The sequence below is a fragment of the Homo sapiens genome, chromosome 19 (genome assembly GCF_000001405.40).
Source record: "Homo sapiens chromosome 19, GRCh38.p14 Primary Assembly".
In the NCBI taxonomy this organism is placed as follows: domain Eukaryota; kingdom Metazoa; phylum Chordata; class Mammalia; order Primates; family Hominidae; genus Homo; species Homo sapiens.
The window spans coordinates 13,731,216-13,751,832 of NC_000019.10; the positions used below are offsets into that span (position 1 = coordinate 13,731,216).

General features: G+C 49.1%; 1 protein-coding gene across 11 annotated transcripts in view, besides 2 other annotated features; it reads left to right on the forward strand.

The window, feature by feature from the left end:
* YJU2B (YJU2 splicing factor homolog B) overlaps nt 537-20,617 on the forward strand; it is a 31,538-nt gene continuing 11,457 nt past the window's right edge. For 4 of the 11 annotated variants that reach the window (NM_001320568.2, NM_030818.4, XM_047439475.1 and 1 more), the window contains exons 1-2: nt 16,680-16,739; nt 20,393-20,596. Coding sequence is in view for 7 of the 11 variants with exons in the window: in NM_030818.4 (NP_110445.1) it covers nt 20,594-20,596 (3 nt within the window). In the remaining 4 variants the exon portion in view is untranslated. Of the gene's footprint in view, nt 866-959; nt 1,071-16,679; nt 16,740-20,392; nt 20,597-20,617 lie in introns of those variants that run through there. The other 7 variants (NM_001320566.2, NM_001320564.2, NM_001320567.2 and 4 more) reach the window with 5 other exon arrangements.
* Nucleotides 600-649: an enhancer, noted in NCBI's record as "active region_14133". NCBI's record gives its function as "activates an Ori minimal core promoter by ATAC-STARR-seq in GM12878 lymphoblastoid cells {active_cell/tissue: GM12878}" and the evidence as "EXISTENCE:reporter gene assay evidence [ECO:0000049][PMID:35858748]".
* Nucleotides 16,661-16,970: a silencer, noted in NCBI's record as "silent region_10207". NCBI's record gives its function as "represses an Ori minimal core promoter by ATAC-STARR-seq in GM12878 lymphoblastoid cells {active_cell/tissue: GM12878}" and the evidence as "EXISTENCE:reporter gene assay evidence [ECO:0000049][PMID:35858748]".

Below are 20,617 nucleotides of genomic sequence, written 5' to 3' on the forward strand. Positions count from 1 at the left end.
GTGCACTGAGGAAGTTTTCTATTTAAAGAAATCCTGCTGTGAACTCTTTTGTGAAGAATGCTTTCCTAATGGAATTAGTCACCACTGAGTCATTTCTGCAAACTTCAGGTTTGCGGTTTTGCCTAAGCAAGATCTGGCCGGAGAAGTGAGATAAATTATAGATGTCGCTAATAAATTACAGATTACTCAAAGGCAAAAGAGGAAAGAAAAAAAAAAATTGACTCGTGTATATGAACCGAATTGAGTCAGGGGTCTCCACCGGCGCTTAATCATGGCCGAGATCCTCCTGCTTCTGCCTGTCCTTTGGTAGACACACGCTACAAGTCAGCTTCTGTCCATCGAGGAAGGGAACGAACTAACAACAAAGAACAATTAAGAGAAGGTTGGCCCCGTGAAAACAAGGGACCATTGAAGAGCGAGTAAAGGCTTGGCCACGTTCTGGCCCCGCCCCACCCCGGTCGCCCTGACAACAGCGCCGGCGTCTGGGCTGAGCTTCGGACTCGCAGCCAGCCTCCCACAGGCCACCGCGCGCGCTCACTTGCGCATGCGCCTCGGAGCTGGCTTCAACCAGCGAAGGCTGAACCCGCTTCCAGGGTCCTCGCCGAGCTGGGAGTTAGGATCCGAGGGGGCCAAGAGGGATAAGAAAACTTCTCTGGGTGCCCACGTGGTACTGAGCGCCCTTGGGAGGGCTCTGGAGAAGACCATCGCCTTCCAGGGTAGCTCCCTCCCTCAAAGGTTTGAGATCATGGTCCAGTTCTCGGGTCTCCCAGCCTCAGTTTCCCCATTTGTAGGAAAGGCGTTCACAGCCTCTATCTCAGAGGAGGCTTTGAGGATTCAGAGAGCTCAGAAGAGGGTAGGCTTTGTGGTGAGCGCTGGGTAGGACTTCGGGGTGGGAGTGGTGGGCTGAAGAGTCCCCGACAACAGCCCGAGGAAGTATTATTATTGTTCTTATTTTACAGGGAAGGAAACTGAGGTCCAGAAAAGTTATGACTCGCCCCAAGGGGATTGCCTGGCAGGACGTGAAGGGGAAGAGGCCCACCCTGGAGTAACCCTCACTGGAGAATCCAGAGGTGAGATGAGCCTTGTACCTATCTCAGCAGAGGGAGTAGGATAATATTTAAATATTAAGGGTGGGGAGAAGGAATGAAGGCAAGAAATAAAATGCCCAAAATGCCCCAAACGCCATCCGGACCATAAAAGTGATGGCGATAGTGTTGGACTTAGGAGCTCAAAGATGCTAACCTTGACAGGCCTGGTGGCCCAAGTCTGTAGTCTCAGCTACTTGGAAGGCTGAGGCAGGAGGATCGCTTTAGCCCAGGAGTGCCAATCCCTCCTGGGCAACATAGTGAGATCCTTGTTTCCTTAAAAAAAAAAAAAAAGTGCATACTTTCTTTCTTTTTTTTTTTTTTTTTGCGACAGAGTCTCACTCTGTTGCCCAGGCTGGAGTACAGTGGCACGATCTCGGCTCACTGCAACCTCTGCCTTCCCGGTCCAAGCAGCTCTCCTGCCTTAGCCTCCCAGTAGCTGGGACTACAGGCATGCACCACCACACTCAGCTAATTTCTGTATTTTTAGTAGAGACCGGGTTTCACCGTGTTGGCCAGACTGGTCTCAAACTCCTGACCTCAAGTGATCCACCTGCCTCTTCCTCCCAAAGTGCTGGGATTACAGGCATGAGCAACTGCACCCGGCATAAAAAATGCATACCTTTTGAAATTTTTTTTTTTTTTTTGAGACGGGGTCTTGCTCTGTCACCCAGGCTGGAGTGCAGTGGCGCGATCTCGGCTCACTGCAAGCTCTGCCTCCCAGGTTCACGCCATTCTCCTGCCTCAGCCTCCCGAGTAGCTGGGACTACAGGTGCCCGCCACCTCACCCGGCTAATTTTTTGTATATTTAGTAGAGACGGGGTTTCATGGTGTTAGCCAGGATAGTCTCGATCTCCTGACCTCGTGATCCACCTGTCTCGGCCTCCCAAAGTGCTGGGATTACAGGCATGAGCCACCACGCCCGGCCTTGCTGGAAAATTCTTAAGCCCACCTGGCATCTCCATCTTAGTCAAACGGCCCACCAACTTCCTGTTCAAACTGAGCTATTTTGATTTCTGAGTTTGTTAACCTTGGCACTACTGGCATTCGGGGCCGGATCATTCTTTGTAGTGCAAAGGCTGTCCTGTGCACTGTGAGAAGTTGAGCAGCATATCCAGCCTCTGCTCATTAGACGCCATAGCCAGGCACGGTGGCTGACGCCTGTAATCCCAGCACTTTGGGAGGCCGAGGTGGGTAGATCACCTGAGGTCAGGAGTTCAAGACCAGTCTGACCAACATGGAGAAACCCTGTCTCTACTAAAAATACAAAATTAGCTGGGCGTGGTGGCACATGCCTCTAATCCCAGCTACTCGGGAGGCTGAAGCAGGAGAATCGCATGAACCCAGAAGGTGGAGGTTGTAGTGAGCCGAGATCATGCCATTGCACTCCAACCTGGGCAACGAGAGTGAAACTCCATCTCAAAAAAACAAAAAACGAACATTAGACGCCATGAACACTCCCTCCCAACCCAATTTGTCACAACCAAAAATGTCTGCAGACATTGCCCCTGAAGGGGTGAAGATGGCTCCTATTGAGAAACACTGGCCATGAGCCAAGAATTAAAAGAGAGAAATCTGTTAGTTTTCACTAAATAGATTTGAATTCTTTATTTTATTTTATTGTTTTTGTTTCATTTTATTTTGAGAGGCAGGATCTCACTCTGTCCCCCAGGCTGGAGTACAGTGGTGCAATCATGACTCACTGTAGCCTCCAACTCCTGAGCTCAAGGGATCCTCCCACTTCAGCCTCCCTAGTAGCTGGGACTATAGGCATGCACCACCCTGCTTGGCTAATTTTTGTATCTTTTGTAGAGACAGGGTCTCACTATGTTGCCCAGGCTAGTCTCAAACTCTTGGCCTCAAGAGACCCTCTCACCTCAGTTTCCCAAATTGTTGAGATTACAGGCGTGAGCCAGCACGCCTGGTCTTGAATTCTTTAACCATTGTCCTCTACCAGAAAGTATACACTATATTAATTCTCTCACTGTAGAGATTGTTTTTTTTTTTTTGAGATGGAGTCTCGTTCTGTCACCCAGACTGGAGTGCAATGGCACGATCTTCACTCACTGCAACCTCTGCCACCGGGTTCAAGTGATTCTCCTGCCTCACCCTCCCAAGTAGCTGGGATTACAGGGACACACCACCACGTCTGGCTATTTTTGTATTTTTAGTAGAGACAGAGTTTCACCATGTTGGCCAGGCTGGTCTTGAACTCCTGGCCTCAAGTGATCCGCCCGCCTCGGCCTCCCGAAGTGCTGGGATTACAGGCGTGAGCCACCGCGCCCGGCCCTTTTTTTGTTTGTTTTAAGACAGGTTCTCACTCTACCACCCAGCCTGGAGTGCAGTGCTGCAAACATAGCTCACTGCAGCCTCAACCTCCTGGGCTCAAAGGGTCCTCTCACCTCAGCCTCCCAGGTAGCTGGGATTACAGGTGTGCTCCACCATGCACAGCTAATTGGTTTTTGGTTTTAGTTTTGGTTCTGTTTTGTAGAAGTGAGGCCTCACTTTGTTGCCCAGGCTGGTCTCAAACTCCCTGGGGCTCAAGTGATCCTCCCACCTCAGCCTCCCAAAGTGCTGGGATGGGCACAAGCTTCTGCACCTGGCTAAGATTCTTAAAATAGCCAGATTTTCTGGAAACTGGTTGACCCAGTTGGATTATATGAAACACAATGGATGATTGTAATCAACAGTTCAACTGAGTGGAACTAGCCCTGGCCAAGGATCAGGAGATCTTAGCAGGGCACAGCGGCTCATGCCTGTAATCCAGCACTTTGGGAAGCCTAGGCGGGTGGATCACCTGAGGTCAGGAGTTCAAGACCAGCCTGGCCAACATGGTGAAACCCCATCTCTACTAAAAATACAAAAAATTAGTCGGGCATGGTGGTGGGCACCTGTAGTCTCAGCTGCTCCCAGCTGAGGCAGGAGAATCGCTTGAACCTGGGAGGCAGAGGTTGCAGTGAGCCGAGATTGCGCCACCGCACTCCAGCCTGGAAGACAGAGCGAGACTCTGTCTCAAGAAATCAGGAGACTTGAGTCTGTTGCCAGTTCTACCATTACAAGCTCTGTGACATTATCACTTAACTTTTCCCTGGACTTGTTTTCCCCTCTGTCAAATGAGGATGTTGAGGTGATTTCTAAGGACTTACAAACACCCAGATTCTGACAGGATGCTCCCTCCCCGTCCCCCACCAGAAGTTATTGAAGCCGCCCAGCCACCCCAGTGTCTGTGTTTTTTTTTTTTTTCTCCAGCCCCCAGCCCAGTCCCCTAAACACATCTTTTGGAGTCAGCTCTTCCAAGCTGTTGTTACCACTCAGACAAACTCATTATTATTCCTGATGCTAATGGGTAAATTACGGTGGTGGTTAACACAGCAGTGGCAGGGGCTCCTTTGTGGGAAATTATGGTGTTTAAGCACAAGACACCCTGGGGTTTGCCTGAGGAAAAATAAAATTTAAAACTGGCCTCTTGCGGCCGGGTGCGGTGGCTCACGCCTGTAATCCCAGCACTTTGGGAAGCCAAGGCGGGCGGATCACGAGGTCAGGAGATCGAGGCCATCCTGGCTAACACGGTGAAACCCCATCTCTACTAAAAATACAGAAAATTAGCCGGGCGTGGTGGGGGGCACCTGTAGTCCCAGCTACTCGGGAGGCTGAGGCAGGAGAATGGCATGAACCTGGGAGGCAGAGCTTGCAGTGAGCCGAGATCGCGCCACTACACTCCAGCCTGGGTGACAGAGGGAGACTCCGTCTCAAAAAAAAAAAAAATGGCCTCTTGCTCCACGATGTGGTGTGTATTTTAGGAGTATCCCAAGTCTGGAATATAGGAATATCCAAGTAAATTATAGGATATACCAATATCATTAGTTCTTCTGACCTGGCTAATATGTATACAAAGAGCCATAGCTCCTCCCTTTAATTAATTCTCTAGAGCATCCACCTGCTTTTCTTTCTTTCTTTTTTTTTTTTTTTTTTTTTTGTGACGGAGTTTGACTCTGTCGCTCAGGCTGGAGTGCAGTGGCACAATCTCGGCTCACTGCAGCCTCCATCTCCTGGGTTCAAGTGATTCTCCTGCCTCAACCTCCCAAGTAGCTGGGATTACAGGCACCTGCCACTAAGCCCGGCTAATTTTTGTATTTTTTAGTAGAGACAGTTTTTCTCCATGTTGGCCAGGCTGGTCTTGAACTCTGGACCTCAAATGATCCACCTGCCTCGGCCTCCCAAAGTGCTGGGATTATAGGCATAAGCCACCGTGCCCAGCCTAATTTTATTTTGTACTTACCCAAATACTCTAAGTACTTACCCAAAGACTCCCTCATTCATTTATTGATTCATTCATTCAGTGTATTTACTGAGTGCTACTACGTAGCTCTAAATGTTGGAGATGCAGTGATAAACAAAATAGGCAGTCTTTGCCGTTTTGTTTTCCATTTTTTTAAGAGACAGGGTCTCGGCCAGGTGCGGTAGCTCACGCCTGTCGTCCCAGCACTTTGGGAAGCCGAGGCAGGTGGATCACCTGAGGTCAGGAGTTCGAGACCAGCCTGGCCAACATGGCGAAATCCCGTGTCTACTAAAAATACAAAAATTAGCCAGGTGGTGGGAAGCTGTGATCCTAGCTACTCGGGAGGCTGAGGCAGGAGAATGGCTTGAACCCAGGAGGCGGAGGTTGCGGTGAGCTGAGATCGTGCCACTGTGCTCCAGCCTGAGCAACACAGCAAGACTCATTCTCAAAAAAAAAAAAAAAAGAAAAAAGAGGGTCTCGCTCTGTCACCCATGCTGGAGTGCAGTGGCACAGTCATAGCTCACTGCAGCCTCAAACTCCAGGGCTCAAGTGATCTTCCTGCCTCAGTCTCCACGCTATCTGTGACTATAAGCACATGACAACACCCAGCCTAGTTTTTAAACTTTTTTTGTAGAGCATCTCACTATGTTTCACAGGCTGGTCTTGAACCCCTGGGCTCAAGGGATCCTCCCACTGCAGCCTCCCAAAAATGCTGGGATTACAGGCATGATCCACTGTGCCTGGCCACTTCTTTGCTCTCTTCAGCTTTTGTTCTAGTGTCTTCAGTTTGGATGATACTGGTCAGACCATTTTCTAGGAGCAGGATCCCAATTCTTCAAGTTCCTGCTCTTCCTGGGTAGTTCATAGAATCTTCTGGCCCTTTGTCCTAATCCAACAACTGCAGAGTACATAGAAAAGCAGGTAGGGCTGGGCGCGGTGGCTCACACCTGTAATCCCAGCACCTTGGGAGGCCGAGGCAGGTGGATCACGAGGTCAGGAGTTCAAGACCAGCCTGACCAACATGGCAAAATCCCGTCTCTACTAAAAATACAAAAATTAGCCAGGCATGGCGGCGAGCGCCTGTAATCCCAGCTACTCAGGAGGCTGAGGCAGGGGAATCGCTGGAACCTGGGAGGTGGAGGTTGCAGTGAGCTGAGATCATGCCACTGCACTCCAGCCTGAGCGACAGAGCAAGACTCCATCTCAAAAAATAAATAAATAAATTTAAGTTAGCCAGATGTAGCTGGTTAGTCTCCTATTGGACAGTTCTAGACCATACTCCATGCCCTTGGGAAATAATATAAATGAGACAGTTTTCCAAAGGTAAATAAGCTTCAGGAATGCCAACAAAGTGCTGCTAGCTCTTTGTATGGATGAATCTATCAGAATGATCACTCTTCTGGCCTTCCCTGCTTCGAAACAGGCCATCTGCCCCTTGGTGTTGAGTATCCCAGTAGCCATTGGGTTCTAGACCAAGCTGGACACAGTGATTCTTGTGATTCAAATGTTTCTCCTCAACTGAAAAAGCTCAGGGTGTCTTTTGGACTGTCCCTCAAAACCTAGCTTTCCACTAATTAGTGAAGCATGACTTTTCCATGCCATGTCTGTTCTGGGAAGTTTCCTCTTCATCGTGGCCTTGGGCCCCAGGGAAATTTCAGTGGATGAGCAGAAGAAGTGGAAAAGGGGATGAAAAGTCAGGTGGAATGACATCATCCATCATTATGGCATCATCACAGCTCTTACATCATTGTCATCATAGATTGTCACTGTTATGGATTGATTTTCTTCTGATTCTTGGTATCCATTTCTTCACATGTGTTTAAAACTCTTTTGACTGACTGCTTACCTAACAGAAGTTTCTTGTGTTGAGTTCCTTTGCCAGATAAAAACAAAATAAGGCTGGGTACAGTGGCTCACACCTGTAATCCTAGCACTTTAGAAGGCCAAGGCGGGCGGATCACTTGAGATCAGGAGTTCAAAACCAGCCTGGCCAACACGGTGAAACCCCGTCTCTATTAAAAATACAAAAAAGCCGGGCGTGGTGGCTCACGCCTGTAATCCCAGCACTTTGGGAGGCCGAGGCGGGCAGATCACGAGGTCAGGAGATCGAGACTATCCTGGCTAACACGGTGAAACCCCGTCTCTACTAAAAATACAAAAATTAGCCGGGCATGGTGGTGGGTGCCTATAGTCCCAGCTACTCGGGAGGCTGAGGCAGGAGAATGGTGTGAACCCGGGAGGCGGAGCTTGCAGTGAGCCGAGATCGAGCCACTACTGCACTCCAGCCTGGATGACAGAGCAAGACTCTGTCTCAAAAAAAAAAAAAAAAAAAAAATTAGCTGTGCATGGTGGTGGGCACCTGTAATCCCAGCTACTTGGGAGGCTGAGACAGGAGAATTGGTTGAACCCGGGAGACAGAGGTGGCAGTGAGCCGAGATTGCACCACTGCACTCCAGCCTAGGTGACAGAGCAAGACTCCATCTCTAAATAAATAAATAAACAAACAAACAAATGGATTTATGGTTATTTATATAAATCAGTTGCACTCAAATACATATAGCCCTCCATTGTCTTTAACCTTTTTAAGAGACAGGGTCTCTCTGTCACCCATACTGAAGTACCATGGTGCGATCACAGCTCACTGCAGCCTCAAACACCTGGGCTCAAGCAATCCTCCTGCCTCAGCCTCCCGAGTAGCTGGGACTACAGGTACATGCCACCACACCCAGCTGACATATTTTCATTTTAACTTTTTTATAGAGACAGGGTCTCCTTGTGTTGCCTAAGTTCATTGTCTTACTAGTGCATTCTTTAATATGTTTTGATATTTGACCTCTAAGAGAGCTGTATACATTCACATTAGCTGGAAACTCTAATTCTTTATTCCTTCAACTCTACTCTATGGATTTGGAAGCTCTAGCTATGGCAAACACTCCCTCGGTTTGTTAAAATGTGTGGTTGTGGTTGGAACCCACCTCCCTGATACTGGCACCACTGGCCTTATTCCTGCCTTTGTGGGCCACAGAGATCCAACCCCTCTTCCCACATACCAGGCCTCCAGCTCCTTCTCCTCTCTAGGAACCCAAAGTTTGAGTCTAGTCCTGGCTTCTTTATCCTTCCAGTCACCAATTAGAGCTCAGAAAGCAGGTCAAATAAGTTAGAATTTTTTTTTTAAGTTCTGGGATACATGTGCAGAACGTGCAGGTTTGTTACACAGCTATATATGTGCTGTGGTGGTTTGCTGCACCTATCAATCCATCATCTAGGTTTTAAGCCCCACATGCATTACGTATTTGTCCTAATGCTCTTCCTCCCCTTGGCCCCCATTCCCTGACAGGCCCCAGTGTGTGATGTTCCCCTCCCTGTGTCCACGCGTTCTCATTGTTCAACTCCCACTTATGAGTGAGAACATGCGGTGTTTGGTTTCTGTATGTTTACTGCATTACTATTTACAATAGCAAAGACTTGGAACCAACCCAAATGCCCACCAATGCTATCACTGGATTAAGAAAATGTGGCACATATATACCATGGACTACCATGCAGCCATAAAAAATTGAGTTCATGTCCTTTGCAGGGACATGCATGAAACTGGAAGCCATCACTCTCAGCAAACTAACATAAGTTAGAAATTTTAATTTATTTTTGTTTGAGACAGAATCTTGCTCTGTCACCCAGGCCGAGTACAGTGATGAGATCATGGCTCACTGCAGCCTCCACCTTCTAAGCTCAAGCAATCTTTCCACCTCAGCCTCTTGAGTAGCTTGGACTACAGGCACGTGCCACTATGCCTGGCTAATTTTTTGTTTTTTGTAGAGACAGGGGTCTCACCATGTTGCCGAGGCTGGTCTTGACCTCCTGGCCTCAAGTGATCCTCCCGCTTTTGCCTCTCAAAGCACTGGGGTTACAGGCATGAACCACCATGCCCAGCCAGTTAGACGTTTTTTGTTTTTTTGTTTGTTTGTTTGTTTTTTATGTGATGGAGTCTCGCTCTGTCACCCAGGCTAGAGTGTAGTGGCGCAATCTTGGCTCACTGCAACCTCTGCCTCCGAGTTCAAGCAATTCTCCTGCCTCAGCCTCCCGAATAGCTGGGATTACATGCGTGCGCCACCACGCCCGGCTAATCTTTGTATTTTTAGTGGAGATGGGGTTTCACCATATTGGTCAGGCTGGTCTTGAACTCCTGACCTCGCGATCTGCCTCCCTTGGGCTCCCAAAGTGCTGGGATTACAGGCGTGAGCCACCGTGCCCGGCCTTAGACATTTTTATATTTGGTTTGTGGCTGTGATCAAAGCCATTTGGGATGTCTGCCCAGCCCTACCCTCTTCATATGAGCACATCCAACCCTCAATTGCAGCCCTGCGCATAGGGTTCAGCTAAGCCACACCCAGATTCCTGACCCAAAGAAACAGTGAGATAATAAATGTTTTAGGCCTCTATACTTTGGGGTAATTTGTTACGCAACCAGAGATAAGTAATATATTGTCAAAACCAGGTAGGCTTTAATTAGTCTTTCCAGATGTCTGTTTCTTTCTTTGTGCTGGCTGGAGGCCTTTGGCTTTTATAGATTTCTTTTTTTTTTTTTTTTTTTTGAGACGGAGTTTCGCTCTTGTTGCCCAAGCTGCAGTGCAATGGCGTGATCTCAGCTCACTGCAACCTCTGCCTCCTGGGTTCAAGTGATTCTCCTGCCTCAGCCTCCTGAGTAGCTGGGATTACAGGTGCACGCCACCATGCCTGGCTAATTTTTGTATTTTTAGTAGAGATGGGGTTTCACCGTGTTGGTCAGGCTGATCTCAAACCCCTGACCTCATGATCGGCCCACCTCAGCCTCCCGAAGTGCTGGGATTACAGGTGTGAGCCACCATGCCTGGCCAGAAATTTTTTTTTAAGAGATGGGGTCTTTCTTTGATGCCCAGGCTGGAGTGGTGGGAGGATGACTTGAGCACAGGAGCCCAAGAGTAGCCTGGGCAACACAGGAAGACCTCGTTTCTACAAATTAAAAAAAAAAAAAAAAATTAGCTAGGCATGGTGCCTGTGGTCCCAACTACTCAAAAAGCTGAGGTGTGAGGACGGCTTGAACCTGGGAGTTCAAGGCTGCAGTGATTGCACCACTGCACTTCAGCCTGGGTGACAGTGGAGACCCTGTCTCAAACCAAACCAAACAAAACAAAACAAAACAAAAGAAGCTATTGGAGGGCCTTATAAGCTGCCTCAGAACCAAGGACTTCCTAACTTTCTCTTGTTTCTCCCCATCTCCCAAGCACAGGGAGGGGCTCTCTTTGGAAGTTCCCTTATTTGACTGATGAAAACTTCTTCCAAAAGAAATGCAGTTGTCTTAAGATGACTCCTCCCTAAGAATCTCATCAAATATCCAGGAAATATTAACCACTGGCAAAGAGAAAAGACTAAAAATTGGCATCATGTCCAAACAGACTTCATCTACTCCTCTCTGTGCAGCTTGGAGAGATTACATGGGAGACTTTATCTACATAATAAGACGGCCTTTGTTCACAATGAAGTTCTGCCCTCACCTTTCTGTCGCCTCCCCAAGAGCTCAGAGGAACTTTGTCCCAGGCCACTGTCTGTTCATTGGGCTTCATCAGTTCCCCTGAACATCATTCATTTCCCCTCAAAACTGCCTACATTCCCCATTTCTCTCTCCCCTAGGAAGACAGTATTTAACTCACAACCATCTGGTCCTTCTTTGAGTCCCACTTTTTTTTTTTTTTTTTTTTTTTTTTTTGAGACGGAGTCTCACTGTCGCCAGCGCTGGAGTGCAGTGGCGCAATCTCGGCTCACTGCAACCTCCGCCTCCCGGGTTCAAGCGATTCTCCTGCCTCAGCCTCCCAAGTAGCTGGCATTACAAGTCTCACATTTTATATGGCTCCCATGCTTACGCATAAATGTCTGTGCCCTTTCTTTTGTTAATCTGTCTATTGTCAGCTCATTTCAGTGAAACTTCAGAACGTGAAAGGGAAGTTTTCCCTTTGCCCTATGCCTTCCTTTCCCTGTATCAATTCCTTTGGCCCCACCAGAACTGGCCTGCATTTGGTATCTTTATAGAACAGCCTCTTTGTATCCCAGGCTGATGTTCAGGCTCCATCACTTGCCCTGTGCATTAAGTAGTAACAGTGAGACTCTACAAGCCAAGGCTTCTCATTCTCCCCTCTCTAGGAAGTCCTGCTCCCAAGATGACATTCTGTGCCTTTTCAGTCACTAACTCTTGGTTCAGGTACAAGACAAGGGCTCAAGCAAAATCCAGATGGACTGAGTGAGATTATTGGGGTGAAATGCAGTTCCCTCTCATTCCTGGGGATCAGCGAGCATGCCTCCCTACAGCACACCCCCCACCTGACTCATTCTGCCTCATCCAGGTCAGAGGTCCCTCCTTACAGGAGTTCTTACAGAAACCAACTGAGGTCTGCTTACCCAGCACAGTAAAACCAGATACCCACACTAAGGTCTTTGCAGTGATAGAAAGAAAGGTGTTTATTGCAGGGCACCATGCAAGGAGAATCAGGGCAGCTCATGCTTAAGACCTGAAATCACCAATGGCTTGCAGGTGGGGGTTTTTTAAGGCAGGTGTAAATTTCAGTAAACCAGAAGCTACAAGCAAAATCATAAATCAATGCATGGAGATTACACATTGGTTTCCACTTAAAAAGGCAGGATATCTTAAAGTGGGGGCTTACAGGTCGTAGATAGATTTAAACATCTAGGCAGGGCACGGTGGCTCACGCCTGTAATCCTAATACTTTGGGAGGCCAAGATGGGAGGATTACCTGAGGTCAGGAGTTCGAGACCAGCCTCGCCAACATGACGAAGCCCTGTCTCTACTAAAAATACAAACATTAGCCGGATGTGGTGGCACATGCCTGTGATCCTTGCTACTCGGGAGGCTGAGGCAGGAGAATCGCTTGAACCTGGGAAGTTGAGGTTGCAGTGAGCCGAGATCATGCCACTGTACTCCAGCCTGGGCGACAGCAAGACTCAGTCTCAGGAAAAAAAAAAGAAAAAGAAAAAAATAGAAAGCCTGGGCGCAGTGGCTCACGCCTGTAATCCCAACACTTTGGGAGGCCAAGATGGGAGGATTACCTGAGGTCAGGAGTTCGAGACCAGCCTGGCCAACATGACGAAGCCCTGTCTCTACTAAAAATACAAAAATTAGCCGGATGCGGTGGCACATGCCTGTGATCCTCGCTACTCGGGAGGCTGAGGCAGGAGAATCGCTTGAACCTGGGAGGTTGAGGTTGCAGTGAGCCGAGACCACGCCACTGCACTCCAGCCTGGGCAAGACTCAGTCTCAGGAAAAAAAAGAAAAAGAAAAAAATAGGCTGGGCGCAGTGGCTCACGCCTGTAATCCCAACACTTTGGGAGGCCGAGGCGGGTGGATCACGAAGTCAGGAGTTCAAGCCAGCCTGGCCAGCATAGTGAAACCTCGTCTCTACTATAGATACAAAAATTAGCTGGGCATGGTGGCAGGTGCCTGTAATCCCAGCTACTTGGGAAGCTGAGGCAGGAGAATCACTTGAACCCGAGAGGTGAAGGTTGCAGTGAGCCGAGATCACGCCACAGGACTCCAGCTTGGGCAACAGAGACTTAGTCTCAAAAAAAAAAAGAAAAGAAAAAGATTTAAACATCTTCTGATTTGCAATGGATTAAGGAAGAGAAGCTTTGTTTAAAAATTTTGAGTCAGTAGAAACATGTCAACTGGTTAGGGGAAGTAACTTTCTCCAAGCCCCTCAGGAGGAAACTTGGAACAAAAGGGACATAAAGTTTAGTCTTCACTTCCCCCTTATCTGGGGTTTCCAAGACTCTGAAAGACAATTCAGGGACATATGTTAAGATGTTATCTTTAATTTCTATAGGGAAACCAAACATCTCTGGGACTCTAACTTCCTTAGCTTTTGTTTTGGATCATTATGTCTTTTTTGTTTAACAAGTTACTTATTTACTTCTCAAGGCTAGCTAGGGGCCTGGAATTTCCCTTGAAGGAACTCAGAAATTTCCTTTGTTTCCATGCTTGGGGTCTCGTAAAAAAGGGGATCCCTGCTCTGTCTCAGGGTCTTACTGACCCTCACTCCAGCCCATTCTCAAACACCCTACCCTCTTTAAAAATTTCTCTGGGGTTAGGCCGGGCGCAGTGGCTCACGCCTGTAATCCCAGCACTTTGGGAGGCCGAGACGGGCGGATCACGAGGTCAGGAGATGGAGACCATCTTGGCTAACATGGTGAAACCCCGTTTCTACTAAAAATACAAAAAATTAGCCGGGTGTTGTGGCGGGCGCCTGTAGTCCCAGTTACTCGGGAGGCTGAGGCAGGAGAATGGCGTGAACCCGGGAGGCGGAGCCTGCAGTGAGCCGAGATCATGCCACTGCACTCCAGCCCAGGCAACAGAGCGAGACTCCGTCTCAAAAAAAAAAAAAAAGATTTTTCTGGGGTCTCATGGTCTTTTAAGTCAAATGCATACAACCCAAAACAGTATAGCTCAGAGGACAAGGGAACAAGGTTTAGCATGAGCAGTTGTAGGTCAGCTCCTCCACCCCTCACTAACTGTGCGACTTAACCTCTCTGGGCCTGTCTCACCATCTGTAAAACAGAAATGATGAAAAGTATCTACCTTCTAGGGGCATTCTATGAGATTATGCATGTGTGAGTGAGCACCAAGCATTGCTCAGTGGTGCCTAGTGGGTAGTGAGCACTCAGTATGCAGCACCATGACTATGTAAGAATTCATTTGTTAGTAGAGCCCGGCTTTAGAACAGAGATGGAACCTGGCACCGAATAATAAAGCATGGGGAGGCCGGGCGCAGTGGCTCATGCCTGTAATCCCAGCACTTTGGGAGGCCGAGGTGGGCAGATCACCTGAGGTCAGGAATTCAACACCAGCCTGGCCAACGTGGAGAAACCCCGTCTCTACTAAAAATACTAGCTGGGTGTGGTGGCGCATGCCTGTAATCCCAGGGCTGAGGCAGGAGAATCGCTTGATCCCGGAAGGAAGGTGGAGGTTGCGGTGAGCCAAGATTGTGCCTTTGCTCTCCAGCCTGAGCAACAAGAGCAAAACTCCATAGATAGATAGATAGATAGATAGATAGATAGATAGATAGATAGATATAGATATATAGATATCTATAGATCTATAGATATCTATATATATATATATAGATATATATATATATCAGGAGGAATAGTAGTAATATTGTCATCACTTCTCACCCTGTCTTTGATAAATTGCCAGTTGAAGTGTCTGCTTCATCACTGAGAAAAGAGTGTGTTCTTTCCTCTCTGAATCCCCAGGACCAGACATATAGCAGGTGTCCAATGAACAGCTCAGCTGTTGAATGAACAAATAGATTCTGTTAGGCCCTACAAGGCATAAAAGTAAATTCAGTCTGGGCACAGTGGCTCATGCCTGTAATCCCAGCACTTTGGGAGGCCAAGGCGGGCAGATCATCTGAGGTCAGGAGTTTGAGACCAGCCTGGCCAACATGGTGAAACCCCATCTCTACTAAAAATACAAATATTAGCCAGGCATGGTGGCGGGCACCTGTAGTCCCAGCTACCTGGGAGGCTGAAGCAGGAGACTCACTTGAACCTGGGAGGCAGAGGGTGTAGTGAGCTGAGACCACACCACTGCACTCCAGCCTGAGTGACAGTGAGACTCCGACTCAAAAAAAAAAAAGTAAATTCAAAAGCCATTCACCTGTGCAGAAGGCAGGGCCAGGCTAATCTGAAGGCTCTAAGAGAAGTATCCACCCACTTCTTCTGTAAAAGGCCAGATGGTAAATATTTTAGATTCTTTGGGCTCTCTCTTCCTCTGTGGCAACCACTGAATTCAACCCTGTTGCAGACATAGACAATAGATAAATGAATGGGCCCGGCTGTTTGTAGGTAGGTGAAAAATGGCTTCCCTTCACCTTTATAGGTTCTTTGGCTGGGCTACGAATTAAATTGACATGTAAACAGACAGGGCAAAAGCCATATTTAATTATGTACCTATGCAGGGGAGTCCCACAAAATACAAGACTCCAAAAAGGATCAGAGAGGCTGGGCCCAGTGGCTCATGCCTGTAATCCAGGCACTTTGGAAGGCCAAGGCAGGCAGATCACCTGAGGTTGGGACTTCCAGACCAGTCTGGCCAACATGGTGAAACCCCATCTCTACTAAAAATACAAAAAATAGCCGGGCGTGGTGGAAGGTGCCTGTAATCCCAGCTACTCGGGAGGCTGAGGCAAGAGAATCACTTGAACCTGGGAGGTGGAGAGCGCAGTGAGCTGAGATCACGCCATTGAACTCCAGCCTGGACCACAGAGCAAGACTCCCTCTCAAAAAAAAAAAAGTATCAAAGAAAAGAATAGGGGTTTGGGGCTTCTGGGAGGATGGTGGTAACACAAGTTATGGGAGGGTAAGGGGAGAAATTGTATGATGGAGAAAGTCTGTCTTGTTAAGCAAATAAAAAAGTCTTGCAGGTAATAAAAGTTGTCTCAGAGCAGCCCTCAGAAGGATACATGATTGGGAATGGTTTCACTCTTCCCTAGTTAATAAGATCGTAGGAAAGCATTCCTCTTTCTGTCTTTAGGCAGATAAGAGAAATTCAGAGAAAACCTCTCCTTCCCTGCATTTGCTGTTCCCCCAAGTGCCCTTATTTTGAAGCAATCAGCAGACAAAAGCGCATATCCCTGTGTTCCAATGAAATTTTATTTACGTACGCTGAAATTTGAATGTTTTATTTTCATAAGTCGTAAAATAGTTTTTCCCCCACCTAACTATTTAAAAATGCAAAAACAGAGCAGTGGTTCACGCCTGTAATCCCAGCACTTTGGGAGGCAGGAGGATTGCTTGGGCCCTGGAGTTCGAGACTAGCCGGGGCAACATAGTAAGACCTTGCCTGTGCAAATAATTTTTCTTGAGACGGAGTCTTGCTGTTGTTGCCCAGGCTGGAGTGCAGTGGCGCGATCTCGGCTCTTTGCAACCTCTGCCTCCCGGGTTCAAGCAATTCTTTTGCCTCAGCCTCCCAAGTAGCTGGGACTACAGGGGCCCGCCACCACACCCTCGCTGACCGGCTGCAGCGCGCAGGACAGCACGCCTGGGAGGGCGGTGCCAGGAGGCGGGCCTCGGATTGGGCCTCACGTAGTGGGCTGGACAGAGGATGGAGCCTCTTGGCGTAAGCGCGGTTGGGCGGGGCATTCCTGGATTGGCCCACTCCGGCGTCGCAGAACGCTTGGCGTATCGTCCTTCAGCCAATCAGCGTGGAGCTGCTGCCTCGCCCCGCCTCACGCCGGCGTCCTGGGGGCGCGGAGAGGGCGCCCAGGTTCACCGCGCTCTCAGCGCGCACTTCCGGGCACGGTCAGGGCGTGACGTCGGGAGGAGGGCAGGTAAGTGCCGGCGGGCGGAGGAGCGGGGAGGGCCGGGGGTCCGGCAGCCGCCTCACCCTGGCCTCGGAGCTGCCCGGCGCGCCCTTCCGCGTCGGGGGACGCGGAGCTGAGGACCCGATTTAGATGCCCGGAGCCGGCCCAGGTCCCAGCCAGGACCAAAGTCCCTGAGGCCCCAGCTGAGACCTCTGACCCAAGTGCCCGGGACCCGGTCCCATCCTAGCCCGGATCCATATTATGCCTGAAGGGTCCTGGGTTTTTGCATCGGGAAAATGGGACCAATAAGTCCCTATCTCACCAGATTTTATAAAAATGATTCTTGTAAAACCGTGAGCAGCAGAAATGACTAAACTGCCAAACGTTTAACTCGGCGTCAGGCGCTGCCCTGAATGCCTTAACCAGCCATTTTTACACATAAGGAAAATGAGGCTTAGAGAGAGAAAACAATTTGCCCCAAGTCAAGCAGATAGGAAGCAGCAGGGTGGAGCTCCGAGCCCAAGCCGTAAGCCCAGGACAAACAGGGTCGGTAATTACTTTTGCACCAAGGACCGGAGATATCTACACGCCCACCCGATAGCCCCGTCTGCCATTTACTGGGGTAACAAAACCATCTTAAGACACACACACACCCTCGAGCTCCTGTAAACGGAGTATTTGCTCTTTGCAGGCTCTTCCCGTGGGTTAGTTGATTCACAGCATCCCCAGAAAGTCAGTCTTGTCGTCGTCATTCGCCCTTTACCGGTGACGAAATACAAGCCCAGGGAAGCGCAGTCACTGACCAAGGTCACCCAGCTGATGAGGAGTGGAGCTGGGATTCAAGCCCAGGGAGCCGTGTCCCCTAACGCCTCAAGGGGCACTTAGCTATTTTGTTGGCAAAAGTATTTTTAGGTTGGAAGGGACCTTGGAATAATCCAATCTAAAGGACACACTTTATAGTTGGAGGATACAAGACTAAGGTGAGGGTAGAACAGTTTATATCCGGGACTTTGCACCACTGCCTCACCACCTCACTACACCACTCCCACTCCATCAGAAGCTCTTCCATCAGCTTCTTTCTTTCTTTTTGTTGGAGACAGAATCTCACTCTTGTCACCTTGGATGGAGTGCAGTGGCGTGATCTCGGTTCACTGCAACCTCCGCCTCCCAGATTCAAGCGATTCTCCTGCCTCAGCCTCTCCAGTAGCTGGGATTACAGGCGTACGCCACCAGGCCTGGCCAATTTTTGTATTTTTAGTAGAGACAGGGTTTCACCATGTTGGCCAGGCCGGTCTTGAACTCCTGACCTCAAGTGATCCACCTGCCTCAGCCTCCCAAAGTGCTGGGATTACAGGCGTGAGCCACCGAGTCCGGCCCCCAAGAATGGTTTTAAATTTTCTAGTAGTTGGGGAAAAATCAAAAGAATAATACTTTGTGACATGACGATTATGTGAAATTCAAATTTCTGTGTCCATCAATAAAATTTATATTGGCATGCAGCTACGCCCGTTCATTTATATATTGTTTGGGACTGATTTCTAGCTATGAAAGCAGAGTTGAGTTGTTGGGGCAGAGATAATCTGGCCTAAAAAGCTAGAAATACTTATTTTCTGGCCCTTGACAGAGAAACTTTGCCAATCTCTGTTCTAGAATACCCTTCACTGCTTCACAGAGTCTCTCTTTAGTGTAAACTAGAACTTCTTTCTTTTTTTTTTTTTTTTTTGAGATGGAGTCTCGCTCTATCGCCCAGGCTGGAGTGTGGTGGCGCAATCTTTGCTCACTGCAAGCTCCGCCTCCCGGGTTCACGCCATTCTCCTGCCTCAGCCTCCCGAGTAGCTGGGACTACAGGCACCCGCCACCACGCCCAGCTAATTTTTTGTATTTTTTAGTAGAGACGGGGTTTCACTGTGTTTGCCAGGATGGTCTCGATCTCCTGACCTCATGATCCACCCGCCTCGGCCTCCCAAAGTGCTGGGATTACAGGCGTGAAGAACTTCCTTCTATATGACCTAAAAGCCTCCCTTCCAAACATGAGAGGGGGTCTCACCACCCCTAGTTTGAGGAGCCCCTGCATTTCCCACCTGTGTCACCTGCACTGACTGTGACCCTTATGGAGCCTCATTCAGTTATCTCAGTTGTTTACCCAGTTGACATTTATCTGGGCCTGGCACTGTCCTAGGTGTTAGGGATATGGCACAGTGTGACCTGCCGGGGGAGACATAAACCGACACAGGGTGATATGATCAGAATTCCAGGAAACAAGTGACTATGGATTGGATGGTTAGATGAGTTCATTGGTTTTTTTTGTTTGTTTGTTTGAGACGGAGTCTCACTTTGTAGCCTAGGCTGGGGTGCAGTGGCGCCATCTTGGCTTACTGCAACCTCCGCCTCCCGGTTTGAGCCATTCTCCTGCCTCAGTTTCCCGAGTAGCTGGGATTACAGGCATGCACCATCACACTCGGCTAATTTTTGTATTTTTAGTAGAGATGGGGTTTCACCATGTTGGCCAGGCTGGTCTTGAACTCCTGACCTCAGGGGATCCACCTGCTTCAGCCTCCCAAACTGCTGGGATTACAGGTGTGAGCCACCGCACCTGGCCGGATGAGGTCTTTGATGGATATGATATGTAGGTCAAGACCTGTGACAGGGGGCTGGGTGCAGTGGCTTGTGCCTGTGATCCCAGCACTTTGGGAGGCCCTAGGTGTGTGGATCACCTCAGGCCAGGAGTTCCAGACTGGCCTGGTCAACACAGTGAAACCCTGTCTCTACTAAAAATACAAAAAAATTAGCCAGGCTTGGTGGCGGGTACCTGTAATCCCAGCTACTCAGGAGACTGAGGCATGACATCACTTAAACCCAGGAGGCAGAGATAGTGAGCCAAGATCATGCCACCCCACTCCAGCCTGGGTGATAGAGTGAGACTCCGTCTCAAAAAAAAAAAAAAAAAAAAAAAGCCTGTAACAAAGAGCTTGCAAACCTGAGGAACAGCAGGTGCAGGCCAGCTGCACTTGGCCTTTGAAGACAGCCAGGAAGCCAGTGTGGCTGGAACAGAGTGAACGAGAGATAGAGGGGTAAGAGTTAGGCTTGGAGAGGCAGGCAGGGGCCCCACAGGCCGTGGGAAGGGGTTTGACTTGATTCTAAAAACCATATGAATCATGGGAGGGGTTTAAGCAGGAGAGTGACACGTTTGTTCATATTAAAAGATCCCAGCTGGGCATGGTGGCTCACACCTGTAATGCCAGCACTTTGGGAGGTTGGGGCGGGTGGATCATGAGGTAAAGAGATCAAGACCATCCTGGGCAACATGGTGAAACCCTGTCTCTATTAAAAATACAAAATTAGCTGGGTGTGGTGGCGCACGCTTGTAGTCCCAGCTACTCGGGAGACTGAGGCAGGAGAATCACTTGAACCCAGGAGGTGGAGGTTGCAGTGAGCAGAGATCGCGCCACTGCACTCCAGCCTGGTGACAGAGCGAGACTCCATCTCAAAAAACAAAAAGATCCCCTGGGCAGCTGTGGGGTGAGCAAGTGTCAAGGGCAGAGTCGGGAGAGAGAAGACCGTGCTGGCCCACGTGAGTGATGATGGGTGCTGGACCCGGTGGGGGCCACAGAGGGATGAAAGTGTCAGATGTGATGCGTATATTGGCTGTAGAGTGGACGGGACTCTCTCTTTCTAAACAGACACGCCGCTTTTTGGATGCCTCCTATGCCTGGCGGGAGTCTTGTCTGAGCTGGCACCACCACACGGCCCACGACATCTTCGCAGGGAAGCCTGTGGACCCTCTGCCAGGCTCCACAAGAGGTCAGGACAGTGCAGTGTGTTCACAAGGCCAGTTTCTGATCGTCCGCCCCGAGGCTGAGGACCAGTAGGCAGCTCCCAAGATGGTGAGTAGACAGCCTCGTGTG